The sequence below is a fragment of the Homo sapiens genome, chromosome 2 (genome assembly GCF_000001405.40).
Source record: "Homo sapiens chromosome 2, GRCh38.p14 Primary Assembly".
In the NCBI taxonomy this organism is placed as follows: Eukaryota; Metazoa; Chordata; class Mammalia; order Primates; family Hominidae; genus Homo; species Homo sapiens.
In genome coordinates this window covers 222,758,405-222,773,466 of record NC_000002.12, presented here as the reverse complement: position 1 = coordinate 222,773,466, position 15,062 = coordinate 222,758,405, and the positions used below count along the sequence as shown (strand labels likewise).

General features: G+C 41.7%; 1 long non-coding RNA gene across 2 annotated transcripts in view; it reads right to left on the bottom strand.

The window, feature by feature from the left end:
* Window positions 1-15,062, bottom strand: part of LOC105373903 (uncharacterized) — a 40,146-nt gene that overhangs the window by 6,642 nt on the left and 18,442 nt on the right. Inside the window, exons 1-3 of one of the 2 annotated variants that reach the window (XR_923948.3) lie at window positions 12,536-13,021; window positions 9,361-9,435; window positions 399-1,061 (exon numbers count right to left, since the gene is read on the bottom strand). This is a non-coding gene — a long non-coding RNA (uncharacterized LOC105373903). Of the gene's footprint in view, window positions 1-398; window positions 1,062-9,360; window positions 9,436-12,535; window positions 13,022-15,062 lie in introns of those variants that run through there. The other variant, XR_001739904.2, reaches the window with a different exon arrangement.

The window sequence follows — 15,062 nt, the reverse complement described above, 5'->3', positions numbered from 1 at the left end:
TTCACTCACATATGATTCATTTTCATCCATCTAATCATATAGAGAAAACCATGATCTAGTCTGGTGGGGAAAGGTATTCTGTGGAGTCTGAAAAGGCAATGTCAGACAGCAGCACTCCATCAGTGTCTGGCCGCATCCTCAACAGCAGTGGGTTCAGCCCCAGCTCAATCAAATCTGAACCTCGTTGTGAGTCCCTCACATCACTGCCCCCCACATTCGATCGGTCACTAAGTCCTGTTCCTTCTGTCCCTGATCAGTTGGGTAACAGGGCTCAGAGCATTTATTGGTACAAGGCTGCTTTATTCAGATGGAAAGACTGAGTTAGAGGCTGTATTAGTTTGTTCTGGCTGCCATAATAAAATGTCACAGATTGAGTGGCTTAAACAACAGGAATTTACCTTCTCACAGTTCTGGAGGCTAGAAGTCCAAGATCAAGATTTTGGCAGTGTTGGTTTCTCCCGAGACCTCTCTCCTTGGCTTGCAGCCGGCCGCCTTCTCCCTGCGTCCCCACATGGCCTTTTCTGTGTGTGATGCAGGCATGCATCCCGGGTGGCTCTTCTTTTGTAAGGACACCAGTCATATTGGATTAGGTCCCCACCCTAAAGGCCTCATTTTGACTTAATCACCTCGTTAAAGATCTTATCTCCAAATATGGTTACATTCAGAGGTACTCAGGATTGATTGTGGGGGACATGGTTCAGCCCCTAATAGAGCCCAAGACAAGATGCGGCAACAGAGTAGACCACTTCATACCTGCAGAGAGAGGAAAAGCCCAAAGTACAGACTGGGAGGTGAGCTTGGTGGCTGAGAGAATCAGGAGAGCCCCAGGCAGGGTCTCAGGACAGAAGAGGTTGAAGAATTCTTGGTTCTGTCTGCTTGTGGGGAGCAAGGGCTGGGATATGACTTGAATATTAGATATCAAAGGTATGCAGAAGGTGCACTCAGCTGCCTGGAGGAATCTCTTGCAATTATTTGCACGTCTGTATCTCTTTCTAGACGGTGAGGCTCTCCGGGCCAAGGAAAGTAATTCATCCATCCTGGCATTGCCAGCATCTAGGAACCTGGAACAGTGAAGGAACACAGCAAAGTTTGCTAAAGAAATTAATGAGGCTCCTAATGAGACTAAGAATGAATTAATGCCTCGTTTTCAAACCATCTGTGAGCTGGGTCACTATGAAGGTGGATGATCCCATCAGTTCCATGTTTATGTTTATCTTGTTCTCAAACTCGGTTTCCTGTTCCCCACCCCTCACTGCATGCTGTCTCTCTCACATACACACACACACACACACACACACACACAATTACACACTCACACAGACCCACTTTCACTCACACTCACACACACTCTCACACTCACACACACATACGCTCTCTCACATACAACCTCACACACACACACATACGCTCTCACACAATCTCACACTTACACACACATATGCTCCCTCACACACACACTCTCATACACACACACAGACCCACTTTCACTCACACTCACACACACTGTCATACACACACATATGCACTCACACACACCCACTCATGCTCACATACACACACACACTCTCACACTCATACTCACACACACATACACACTATAGTCCTCGGGCTATAGCAAGAAAGTGTGGCAGAATCTTCCCAAGGAAAGTACACACCTTGGCCAGGCGTGATGGCTCACACCTGTAATCCCAGCACTCTGGGAGGCAGAGGCGGGCTGGATCACTTGAGGTCAAGAGTTTGAGACCAGCCAGGCCAACATGGTGAAACACTGTCTCTACTAAAAATACAAAAATAAGCCAGGTGTGGTGGCATGCGCCTATAGTCCCACTACTTGGGAGGCTAAGGCAGGAGAATCACTTGAACCTAGGAGGCAGAGGTTGCAGTGAGCCGAGATTGTGCCACTGCACTCCAGCCTGGGTGACAGAGCAAGGCTCCATTTAAAAAAAAGGAAAGAAAAAAAGTACACACCTGTTTGTCTAAAGATAATTTAAATAAAAATTTCATTGTCCCCTGAGCCTTTACTTATAAGAACTGACAGTAACAATAGGTTGGCAAGATGAGGGGATCGCTTGAGCCCAGGAGTTCAAGACCAGCCTGGCAACATAGTGAGAGCATACAAACAAAAAACAATGGATAGATTTTTGCCTAAAAAACAAAGTGCTTATTTTGCTCTTTCCTCTGATGTTCCTTAACTCTGTTTTGCCTCAACGATTTTTGAAGAATGACAACAAATCAGTGAGAAAAAAGCAAATAATCCCATCAAAAAGTGGGCAGAGGACATACATAGACAATTCACAAGAGAAAATATACAAATGGCCAACAAGCAAATGAAAAAATGCTCAACATCACTAACTATCAGAGAAATGCAAATTAAAACCATAATGAGATACCACCTTACTCCTGCAAGAATGTCCATAATGTAAAAATGAAAAAATAATAGATGTTGACGTGGACGTGGTGAAAAGGGAACACTTTTACACTGCTGATGGGAATGTAAACTAGTACAACCACTAGGGAAAACAGTGTGGAGATTCCTTAAAGAACTAAAAGTAGAACTACCATTTGATCCAGCAATCCCACTACTGGGTATCTACCCAGAGGAAAAGAAGTCATTATATGAAAAATACACTTGCCCACACGTCTATAGCAGCAAAACTCATAATTGAAAAAATATGGGACCAGCCTAAATGCCTGATATGGTTTGCCTGTGTCCTCACCCAAATCTCACCTTGAATTGTAATAATCCCCACATGTCAAGGGCAGGGCATGGAGATAATTGAATCGTGGAGGTAGTTTCCCCCATACTGTTCTCATGGTAGTGAGCAAGTCTCATGAGATCTGATGGCTTTACAAACGGGAGTTACCCTGCATAAGCTCTCTTGCCTGCTGCCATGTAAGACGTGACTTTGCTCTTCATTATTATGAGGCCTCCCCAGCCATACGGAACTGTGAGTCAATTAAACTTCTTTCCTTTATAAATTATCCAGTCTCGGGTATGTCTTTATTAGCAGTGTGAGAACAGACTAATACAATGCCCATCAATCAACAAGTGGATAAAGAAAATGTGGCATATATATATATATATGTATATATATATGTATATATACATATATATATATGAGTATATATATATGTATATATACATATATATATATGAGTATATATACTACTCAGCCATTAAAAAGGAATGAAATAATGGCATTTGCAGCAACCTGGATGGAGTTGGAGACCATTATTCTAAGTACAGTAACTCAGGAATGGAAAACCAAATACCGAATGTTATCATATAAGCTTAACTCCCACTTGTAAGTGGGAGTTAAGCTATGAGGACGCAATAGCATAAGAATGAGATAATGGACTTTAGGGACTCAGGGAGAAGGGCTGGAGCAGGGTAAGGAATAAAAGACTACACATTGGGTACAGTGTACACTGCTTAGGTGATGGGTGCACCGAAATCTCAGAAGTCACCACTAAAAAACTTATCCATGTAGCCAAAAACCACCTGTTCCCCCAAAACTATTGAAAAAAAAATTTTTTTTAGAAGCAATTTTTGAAGAGTAAAATGGTGACCTGCAGGTGGTGAAAGTGACAGTCTCAGGTCCTCTCAGGATCTGACCGGCTGCTGTGATACCTCAGTTCTTGTCTTCCTAGTTTAAAATATTTTAAACAGGAGACACACAGCAAAGGAGATGCAGCATAGAACAACTTATCGTAAAGGAGAAAGAATATTTTGAAAGCACAGAATAGACAGTACACCCTAAGAGGGAGAGGATTCAGGGCGGCTGCTCATAAGGATGAGACAGCAGAGGCTGGCACGAAGGAGGCTCCCTTACACGATCATTCATAAGGAGGTGGGAAGAGGTGTTGCTAGTAAGCATGTTCTGGTTGGTCCTCTGGGTGCACATGTGCAGTAGCTGTACATGCTTGTTCATACCTCGAATGTCTCATTAGCTTCTTATATCTCCATCCAGAGGTTTTTTTTTTTTTTTTACTATTGTAATGAGCAAAGGGTCACTGTCTTTGAGAACAGCGAGTGGCTGATCTAAGCCTCCCCAGCCATGTGGAACTATGAATCAATTAAACCTCTTTCCTTTATAAATTATCCAGTCTCGGGTATATCTTTATAGCAGCGTGAAAACAAACTAATACATAACCCAAACAAAGTTAAACACCATTTTTTATTTGACAATGTTTCGCATATGATTTTAATATACCAAATAAGCCTAATATGGATCTCTTAGACTTCTACAGGTCCTAATATTCAAATAATTATTTGAGGTTAAAAAGACTGAATTTAGAATTTGAAATTTGATTTTGGAAAGTTTGTCAATATTAAAGATTTAAAACACTTGATCGAAATAGACTTACAGGTCACTGTAAAATAATAGTCATTCATATAGGCAAATTGATATTCAAAGATTTTAAATTCAAAGATTTTAAAAAAGCAGAAACCTTTACTCTTTGATAGAGAAGAGATTCATTTTTTTCAAACAATCAGAAACCTAATAAAGACAGCATGAAACGAATGGAATCTGTCTCTCTTCTTTTTATTTTATTTTATTTTTTGCAGTTGGCTTAAAAGGTAAACAAAAATATTTACTATCTTTCATTAATGCTACACAAAAATCTTGCTCAAAAGAGAAAACCGAATTTTACCTTTGCCTCAGTATATTTTTAATGCTAAAGATAATTTTAACAAAACCTTATAAACAAATCCATCCAATCTCAATTCAGCTTAGAACACAAAATGTAAGATTTTTATAAACTTTTTATAACCTCTTACAATTTTTCCCATTATTTGTTTTTTTAACTTCTATATCCATTTAGGTTTTTTTGTTTTCTTTTTTTCGAAACAAAGTCTTGTTCTGTTGCCCAGGCTGGAGTACCGTGGCATAATCTCAGCTCATCGTAACTTTTGCCGCTCAAATTCTCCTGCCTCAGCCTCCCGAGGAGGTGGTATTACAGGCACGCACCACCACACCTGGCTAATTTTCGTATTTTTAGTAGAGACAGAGTATCATCATGCTGGCCAGCCTGGTCTGGAACTCCTGACCTCATGTGATCCTCAATGCCTCAGCTTCCCAAAGTGCTGGGATTACAGACATGAGCCACTGCGCCCAGCCTCCAGTTAGTTTTATCTGTCTCTTTTCCTTCCATTTAAAGCAACTTTTAAAAACCTCTAAACTAGACAAAATTACTTTGCCTTTAACAAAAACCACATTTGCATGTGGTTAAGAGGTTATAACCTTTTTTTTTTTTTTAACCAAAAACACATCCTATTGTCCTTATACACACTACTTTTTTTTGAGACAGAGTCTTGCTCTGTCCCCCAGCCTGGAGTGCAGTAGCGCCATCTCAGCTCACTGCAACCTCTGCGTCCTGGGTTCAAGCGATTCTCCTGCCTCAGCCTCCGGAGTAGCTGGGATTACAGGCACACACCACCACGCCTGGCTAATTTTTTGTATTTTTAGTAGAGAGGGAGTTTCACAATGTTGGCCAGGCTGGTCTGGAACTCCTGACCTCAGGTGATCCACCTGCCTCAGCCTCCCAAAGTGCTAGGATTACAAGCGTGAGCCACTGGGCCGAGCCTATACACACTTTTTACATAGAATTGTTTGTCTTACATATAGCAGTTTTCAATATATATACTTATTACAATGTTAACTCTTAGCACTCTAATTTTCAGTGAACACCTAGGAAATAAGCAATTTTTTTTTTCAGAGACAGAGTCTCACTGTGCTGCCCAGGCTGGTCTCAAACTCCCCGGCTCAAGCTATACTCCCACCTCTGCCTCCCGCAGTGCCGGGATTATAGGTGTGGGCCACTGTGCTTGGCTAAAATAAGCAACTTACTTTCAATCACGTACCCACAATCCGTGACTACACATTTTACAAGTCCAGCGACATACGCTTTTCAACAGAACAACTCTTTAATATGGAATAGGAACATTTTTACTAACAGATCCTCAGAACTTTTGTTCTTCTGAAATAAGAAGCCAAAAGTATATGAGTCTAAACTCTTATTCAGCATGTGATTAGTCTCAGCATTACATCTTATCTGGAAAGGATCTAGCCAGTCAATGAACTTCTGTCATTTAATTTAGCTTAGCAAACCCCTAAGGGTATAGCTACTAAAGAGATTTGAGAAATATTTCTAGGTAAACATATTACAAAACATAACCATTATCAGAAGTTCACTTACAAACTGTTATCCCCTTTATATTCATTTACTCTTAGCAATCATATTTGGAAAACTTTATGAAACTCTAGACTAATCTAGCTACCATCCCAAGCTAAATTTTCTATCAACCAAATTTTTTTTTTTTTTTTTTTTTTTGAGATGGAGTCTTGCTCTGTTTTCAGGCTGGAGTGCAGTGGCACGATCTTGGCTCACTGTAACTTCTGCCACCCGGGTTCAAGGGATTCTCCTGCTTCAGCCTCCTGAGTAGCTGGGACTACAGGCGCACGCCAACGTGCCCAGCTAATTTTTGTATTTTTAGTAGAGACAGGGTTTTACCATGTTGGCCGGGATGGTCTCAATCTCTTGACCTCATGATCTGCCCACCTTGGCCTCTCAAAGTGCTGGGATTACAGGCATGAGCCACCATGCCCGGCCTGTCAACCAATTTTACATTACTGTATGCCAGGCAAGTATCATAAAAGCAAGAACTTTAAACTTAATACATGCGCATTTTGCTGATAATTGAGAAGAAACAGTCATTCCCATCAAACCAATAATATTAGACTTGTCCCATCCAACAAAAGATTACTAAGTCATGTGAACTTGAAAAGCATCTGGCTTATTTAATTAATTTATGAATGCTCCTTTATTTATAAGCCAAATTTGTACTATAGACAATACACAAACAGATGTGTGTACACATGTATACACAAAAATATAGACAGACATAAGGATTTTATAGCTTTAGTTTTAAAACTTTAGCCATGAATCAGGTAAAACTCACTAGTTTAAAGGGTCAGTTGGATTCAAACTGTATCTCTACAAATGGAACAGGCTGAAACTTATCTTCTCCACATGGCTGAAACCCTTACCGAATTTTAGAGAAAACGAGGTAGCATATTTACACTCTAGCACACTCGGAGAACTCAAGCCTCTCCAAGAAGCCTGGGCATTTTAAAGGGGAATTGAAACGAATGCCAAGGTAACATAAATCATAGGAATAAATTAAAGCAAGTGGGACTGGTTCCTTGAACAGGAATCGAACTTAGCCTGCAATGGTAAAGGACTAAATCCTAGACAATGTTCTAGAGTGGAGAGCCTTTCTTTTTTCTTTTCTTTTTTTCTTTTTGAGACAGCGTCTTGCCCTGTCACCCAGGATGGAGTGCAGAGGCACAATCACAGCTCACTGCAGCCTTGACCTCCTGGGTTCAGGTGATCCTCCCACCTCAGCCTCCCAAGTGGCTGGGACTACGGGTGTGCACCACCATGCCTGGCTAAGTTTTTGTATTTTTGGTAGAAATGGAGTTTCACCATGTTGCCCAGGCTGGTCTCGAGCTCCTGGGCTCAATCAATTCTCCCACCTTGGCCTCCCAGAATTCTGGGATTACAGACGTGAGCCACTGTGCCCATTCCTTTTTTAAAATCCTACAGGGAATCCAAAGCAGGTAGTTTGAGCATTTAAAGAGTTTTAACTTATTTCAGATCTTATTTCAGCTGGAATGCTGCTTACCTAATTCGCTGGATGTCAGCATTTCAGACAAGATTTACCTTTCCAAGGGACTTCAGGACATTTAAAGAGTATTTTCTGATATTGGGTCAGTAAGTCATTAGTGCCATTAATTAATGCTAGTTTACAAAAAACTTGTTAAATCTGTATTTTTATAACCTCAGTAATTTTATTCTCATTCTGTAGTTGTTTTATTTGTTTCTTCTGTTCTAAATCTTAATACATTTCTTCCTTTTTGACCATCGGTTTTCCAATTAACTGTTTAATTGCCTAAACAATGGTCAGCTAAGCAACCCAAAATCTGCACCCTCAAATGGATGGCTTCTAGGTGAAACAAGGCAGAAAAAATGTATTCATACATCTCATCTCAAAAGCAGAAAGCATGGCCAGGTGCAGTGGCTCACGCCTGTAATCCTAGCACTTTGGGAGGCCGAGGAGGGGGGTTCAACTGAGGTCAGAAGTTCAAGACCAGCCTGGCCAATATGGTAAAACCCTGTCGCTACTAAAATATAAAATTTAGCTGGGAGTCATGGTGGGTGCCTGTAATCCCAGCTACTTGGGAGGCTGAGACGTGAGACGGGAGAATCGCTTGAACCGTAGAGATGGTGGTTGCAGTGAGCTGATATCGCACTACTGCAGTCCAGCCTGGGCAGCTGAGCGAGACTCTGTCTCAAAAAAACAGAAAAACAAACAACAACAATAACAACAAAAAGCAGAAAGCCAGACTTCAGGCCTAAATATTGTACCATAATTTGCCCAAACCTAGAGAGTATAGCTGAAAGCTCAATTTCAAGACACGTTGGCCAGGAAAAGCACCTAAACGAAGGTAAGACTTGTCTCAGCCCTCCCCTTTTTCCAGGTGCACAGAGGCAGACATCCTCACAGAAGGAGATTTCCTTTATGGATATAAATCGTTTTAACAAAAGTCTTTAAAAATAGCCAGTTGAATGCCAGAAAGGTATATTTTGGAGACCCATCTGGTTCAAGGGTGTTTGTTTATTTTTTAAAAATTTAGCTTCTGGCCAGACAGGGTGTCACACCTGTAATCCCAGCACTTTGGGAGGTCGAGGTGGGCGGATCACAAGGTCAAGAGATTGCGACCATCCTGGCCAACATGGTGAAACCCCATCTCTACTAAAAATACAAAAATTAGCTGGGCATGGTGGTATGCGCCTATAGTCCCAGCTACTCAGGAGGCTGAGGCAGGGGAATCGCTTGAACCTGGGAGGTAGAGGTTGCAGTGAGCCGAGATTGCGTCACTGCACTCCAGCCTTGCAACAGAATGAGTCTCCGTCTAAAAAAAAAAAGAAAAAAATATTAGCTTCTGGCCGGGCACAGTGGCTCATGCCTGTAATCCCAGCACTCTGAGAGGCCAAGGCAGGTGGATCACCTGAGGTCAGGAGTTCAAGACCAGCCTGGCCAACATGGTGAAACCCTTTCTCTACTAAACAAAAAAAAATTTAACTCGGTGTGGCGGTACATGCCTGTGATCCCAACTACTTCGGAGGCTGAGGCAGGAGAATCGCTTGAACCTGGGAGGTGGAGGTTGCCATGAGCGGAGATCACACCACTGCACTCCAGCCTAGGCGACAGAGAGAAAGACTCAGTCTCGAAAAAAAAAAAAAAAAAAAAAAGAATGAAAAATGTAGCTTCTATTTCTTAGTTAAAATTACCGAGTTTAGCAGAGAACCAATCAAGCAAGATGGTGAAAAAGGCATTCTGTATGTATGGACTCAGCATGGGCAGATCTGAAAAAGAAACAAACCTACTTAACCTGAGGGCTTACCTTTTATAAACACTTTATATGTACAAATACCCAGGACAGCTTTCTTTAACCTTTAGAACACAACAGTAACTAAGCCAAAAGATTAGCAGATTCAATTTTCCTTATCACTTAAGCTTTTCATTTACCTTTTATAAAGAGTCTTTTAAAAGAGGCAATTTGCCGGCACAGTGGCCTTAACACCTATAATCCCAGCACTTTGGGAGGCCCAGGCAGGAGAATTGCTTGAGACCAGGAGTTCAAGACCCTGTCTCTAATATAATAAATACAACAATTAAATCAAAGAGGCAACACAATATGAAAATATGTTCAGAAGCTTTCGCACATCAATAGGCATCCTTCAGTGAGACAAATTTGGGAGCCCTTATTTAAGAATGCACTTTGTCTTTTTTATTTGTTTTATTTTTTTTCTGAGACAGAGTCTTGCTCTGTCACCCAGGCTGGAGGGTGGTGGTGCGATCTCAGCTCTCTGCAACCTCCGCCTCCCAGGTTCAAGCAATTCTCCTGCCTCAGCCTCCTGAGTAGCTGGGATTACAGGTGTGCATCACCACGCCTGGCTAATTTTTGTATTTTTAGTAGAGATGGGGCTTCACCATGTTGGCCAGGCTGGTCTGGAACTCCTGACCTCCTGATCTGCCTGCCTCGACCTCCCAAAGTGCTGGGATTACAGGCGTGATCCTCCGCACCCAGCCACAGATAACTTTTTAAAATTAAGAACTGTTCTTTATCTTGTTATGATGATCTCAAGATTGTATACTATTACCCAAAGTCATCAAACTTTTCACTTAAAATTGGCCAGTTTTATTGTATGTAAATGATACCTTACAAAACAGGAAAAATGATGCTATAGAATACCTGATGGCCAGAAATTTCAGTGTTTTGGGAGGCCAAGGAGAGAGGATCACTTGAGCCCAGAAGTTGAAGTCTGTAGTGAGCTATAATTGTGCCTCTGTACTCTAGCCTAGGCAACAGAGCAAGACCCTAACTCTGTCTCTTAAAAAAAAAAAGAAAGAAAGAATAGCTGATGGAATGAAAACATGTAATTGACATATAAAGCAACTGAGGAAATTTTAAATTAACTCATATGGTATAATTCTATATATATTACATATGTATAAAGAGAAATAATATAAAATCACATGAAAAGTATACACCAAAATGCTAACAGTTTTCAGTTTTACCTCTGGATGGATGAGACTATAGAGAAGCTATCTTTTTGTATTAAGTTTTTTCTATATTTTACTTTCACAACCTTTTTTTTAAGATTTTTTTTTCTTTTAATTAAAAAAAAAAAAGGTCTCACTATGTTGCCCAGGCTGGTCTCAAACTCCTGAGCTCAAGTGATCCTCCAGCCTCAGCATCCCAAAGTGCTGGAATTCAGGCATGAGCCACTGCACCCAGCCTTAAAAATATTTTAATGTAGGAAAATTTCTTCAATAACACATGTGGTAGTCAATGACTGGGACGGCCACTGTTTTTCAGCCAGAAGTGTTTTGTGAATGTAGGAAACACAATCAGGAAAAAGTCACTGAAAGTGTGTGAGCTAGTGAAGCTTTTGTCATGAGATACAATCCCCGTTCATCTCTGACAGCAGTGGGCTTGCATGGATGGTGAATGTTGACAAAGATTGTTGTCTTTTTCCTTCTATCTTTCCCTTCTTTCACATACTAACCGAATCTCCAGTTTTTAGCTGGGCACATGCCCATCCCAAATCACGATCACATTTCTCAGTATTCTTTGCAGGCAGATGTGGGTGTGTGATTAAGTTCAGGCAATGGAATGAAAATAAGTGTTGGGGTGAACTTTCAAGTTTTGCCCTAAAAGGAAAGGGTTATAGCCTCACTCTGCATTTCCCTCCCCTCCCCATTCCCATTGCTTGGGATTGTGGGAGCTGGAGCAGCCATCTTGGACCAAGAGGTGAAAGTCACACATTACAGACAGAAAAGCAGTAAGATCGGAGGAGCCTAGGGCTCCTGAGGATTGTGGAGCCACCATGCCAGCCCTGGACACTTATGTGACTATTATACGAGAGTGAGATGAAATTTCATCTTGTCTTAGTCACTACTATTTTTTTTAATTTTAGTATTTTTCTTTTCTTTTTATTTGTTTATTTATTTATTTTTTGGAGACAAGGTCTTGCTCTGTTGCCCAGGCTGGAGGGCAGTAGTGTAATCACGGCTCACTGCAGCCTCGACCTCCCAGGTTCAACTGATCTTTCTGCTTCAGCCTTATAAGTAGCTGGGACTACAGGTGTACACCACCACACCTGGCTACTTTTTAAAATTTTTTATAGGGACAAGGTATCCCGTGTTTTTTTTTTTAATATAAAAGATACATATCTCTTTTTTATAGAGACATGTATCCCTATGTTGCCTAGGCTGGTCTCCAATTCCTGGGCTCAAGTGATCCTCCCACCCTGGCCTTCCAAAATGCTGGGATTACAGATGTAAGCTGCCACACTCTGAGTCACTACTATTTTGAGTATCTCCGGTGTAGCATTAGGAATAATATTCCCCATCAAAACCTTCAGTCAATCAGGCTCAACAGAAAACATAGTAAAGTCTTTATTTGGGGTCTTTAAAATTAAAGATTTAGGAGAATTCATTCTAAGTAATCCCAGAATAACACCTAGATTATTAAAGAAGGCTACTGTCTCTGGAGAGTAAAATCCCAAGACTTAGCTCTGGAGAACCAATGAAAAGATTTCTTTAATCTTTTGTTTTCTATCTATTTCTGACTTTCTTTGGAACTCCAAGTCCAGACCTGAAAAAGGAGTCAACCAGGTCTACCTGTGGGCAAGCTCTTAGCTCCTCCAGGGGTTCATGAACTCTGAAAAGGTTCAGACCTGACTCAGGACACCCAGGACATTCATAAATGTATTATGATGGATACAATGTGGAGCTATCATAATTGCCACCATTTACTGAGACCACACACTGCAGACACTGTGCTAAGTGCTTGTATGCCAGATCTCATTCAATCCCAAGATACCCTTGGCATGAGTTTGTATCATTATGCCTTATTTTAACAAAAAACCTGAGGCTCAGAAAGGTGAAATAATTTACCCAAGATCATACTGAAGAGGTCTGTCTGACTCCAAAGCTAGTTTCCTCAAAAGTTCTAGAAACGAACTTGGTCTGGAAGCACCCTTCATCTAGCATAGACGCCAATGGCCGGGCCTAGCAGAACAAACAAGTCAGCATCAGCCCGTGTTCAAATATCAACCTCATTTTGTCCCTTGAAATTTAGCTTGGAGGAAGCTGCAAACAGCAGTGTCCCATTTTTTGTTGAAATGCAATTGAAACGGCTCATTGTTTTTTTTTAATCCCAGTCCCCTATGAGCCAACAAATTGTCAGGACACAATTGCAAGCAGTTCTAACACAATGACTGCAGAGAGTTTTTGTGATACTAAAATGTAATGGAAGCTGTCAGGGAGGATTTAGGGGGCAGTCTTGCTATCTTAATTGTCAATAACGATAATTAGTTTACGTAAGGACATTGCCTTGCTTAGAATTTAGCATTTTTTTCTTTTCTGAAGCTCTGAATTACCTATTGTACTTCCCTGGCATGGTAACATTTGCCTTTTATTTATTTGATTTATTTTTTTAAAGACAGAATCATGGCCAGGCTCAGTGGCTCATGCCTGTAATCCCATCATTTTGGGAAGCCAAGATGGGCAAACTGCTTGAGCTCAGGAGCTTAATACCAGCCTGGGCAATATGGCGAATCCCCTTCTCTATTAAAAATACAAAAAATTAGCTGGGCATGGTGACACATGCTTGTAGTCCCAGCTACTTGGGAGGCTGAGCTGGGAGTATCGTGTGAGCCCAGGAAGTCAAGGCTGCTGTAAGCCTAGACTGTGCCATTGCACTCCAGCCTGGGCAACAGAGCAACAACCTGTCTCAAAAAAAAAAAAAAAAAAAAAAAAAAGAGTCTCACTGGTCTCACTGTGTCACCCAGCAAGACTCTTTTTGTAGAGATAGTGAGACTCTATCTTTAAGATTAGCCAATGTTGGCTAATTTATTTTTATTTATTTATTTATTTATTTATTTATTTATTTATTTATTTATTTATTTATTTATTGAGATGGAGTCTGGCTCTGTAGCCCAGGCTGGAGTGCAGTGGCGCGATCTCCGCTCACTGCAAGCTCCGCCTCCCAGGTTTGTGCCATTCCCCTGCCTCAGCCTCCCGAGTAGCTGAGACCACAGGCGCCTGCCACCACACCCGGCTAATTTTTTGTATTTTTAGTAGAGACAGGGTTTCACCGTGTTAGCCAGGATGGTCTCGATCTCCTGACCTCGTGATCTGCCCGCCTCGGCCTCCCAAAGTGCTGGGAGCCACCATGCCCAGCCAATGTCGGCTAATTTTTATTTGTAGAGATAGTCTCGCTATGTTGCCTGGGCTTGTTTGGACTTCTTGGCCTCAAGCTATCCTCCTGCCTCAGCCTTCCAAAGAGCTGGGATTACAGTTATGAGCCACTATACCTGGCAAGCCTTTTAAGAATGTAAGAATATTAACAATTTAGGTTGATTAAATATTTTATTTCAAATAGTAGATATTTTTCATGTAGAATCTACTGATTTTCACTATTGCTATTTGGGATCTTTATGCCCCAGATAATAAATGGGAAAATGCATATAACTGTGGTAGTTGTGAACAAAGTAACTGATATGATTTGGCTGTGTCCCCACCCAAATCTCATCTTGAATTGTAGTTCCCATAATCCCCATGTATCATGGGAGGTACCTGGTGGGAAGTAATTGAATCACAGGGGCGATTACCTCCATGCTCCTGTTCTCACGAGATCTGATGGTTTTATAAGAGGCTTTTCCCCCTTTGCTCAGCACTTCTTCCTGCCATCACGTGGAGAAGGATGTGTTTGCTTCCCCTTCCACCATGATTGTAAGTTTCCTGAGGCCTCCCCAGCCATGAGGAACTGTAAGTCGATTAAACCTCTTTCCTTTATAAATTACCCAGTCTCAGGCAGTTCTTTATAGCAGCCTGAGAACGGACTAATGCAGTTACTGTTAATGCGAGAGTTCATATGTCCTCCTCTTGTTCCTCTGTGGTGTTTCTGCTGTGAATGTTGGAGCCCCTTTAAGACAGAAGCATACTCTGAGTAAAGCATCATTCCCAGGTAAAGCCAAGTCTATTCAGCACAAAGAGCTCAAAGGTCCCCTCTGGGGCTTGGGAGGGCCCTAGCTGTATGTTCTTGGGGTTTTGGGGAGGCGTTTGTTTGTTTGTTTCTTGAGACAGCGTCTCACTCTGTCACCCAGGCTAGAGTGCAATGGTGTGATCTCAGCTCACTGCAACCTCTGCCTCCCAGGTTCAAGCAATTCTCATGCCTCAGCCTCCTAAGTAGCTGGGATTATAGGCACCTGCCACTACACCCAGCTAATTTTTGTATTTTTAGTAGAGACAGGGTTTCGCCATGTTACCCGGGCTGATCTTAAACTCCTGGCCTCAAGCAATCTGCCTGCCTTGGCCTGCCAAAATGCTGGGATTACAGGCGTGAGCCACTGTGCCTGGCCCTTGTTCTTGTTGTTAAAGGGCAAAGCTGCTGCTCTCATGCCCCCTTAACTCCATCCAT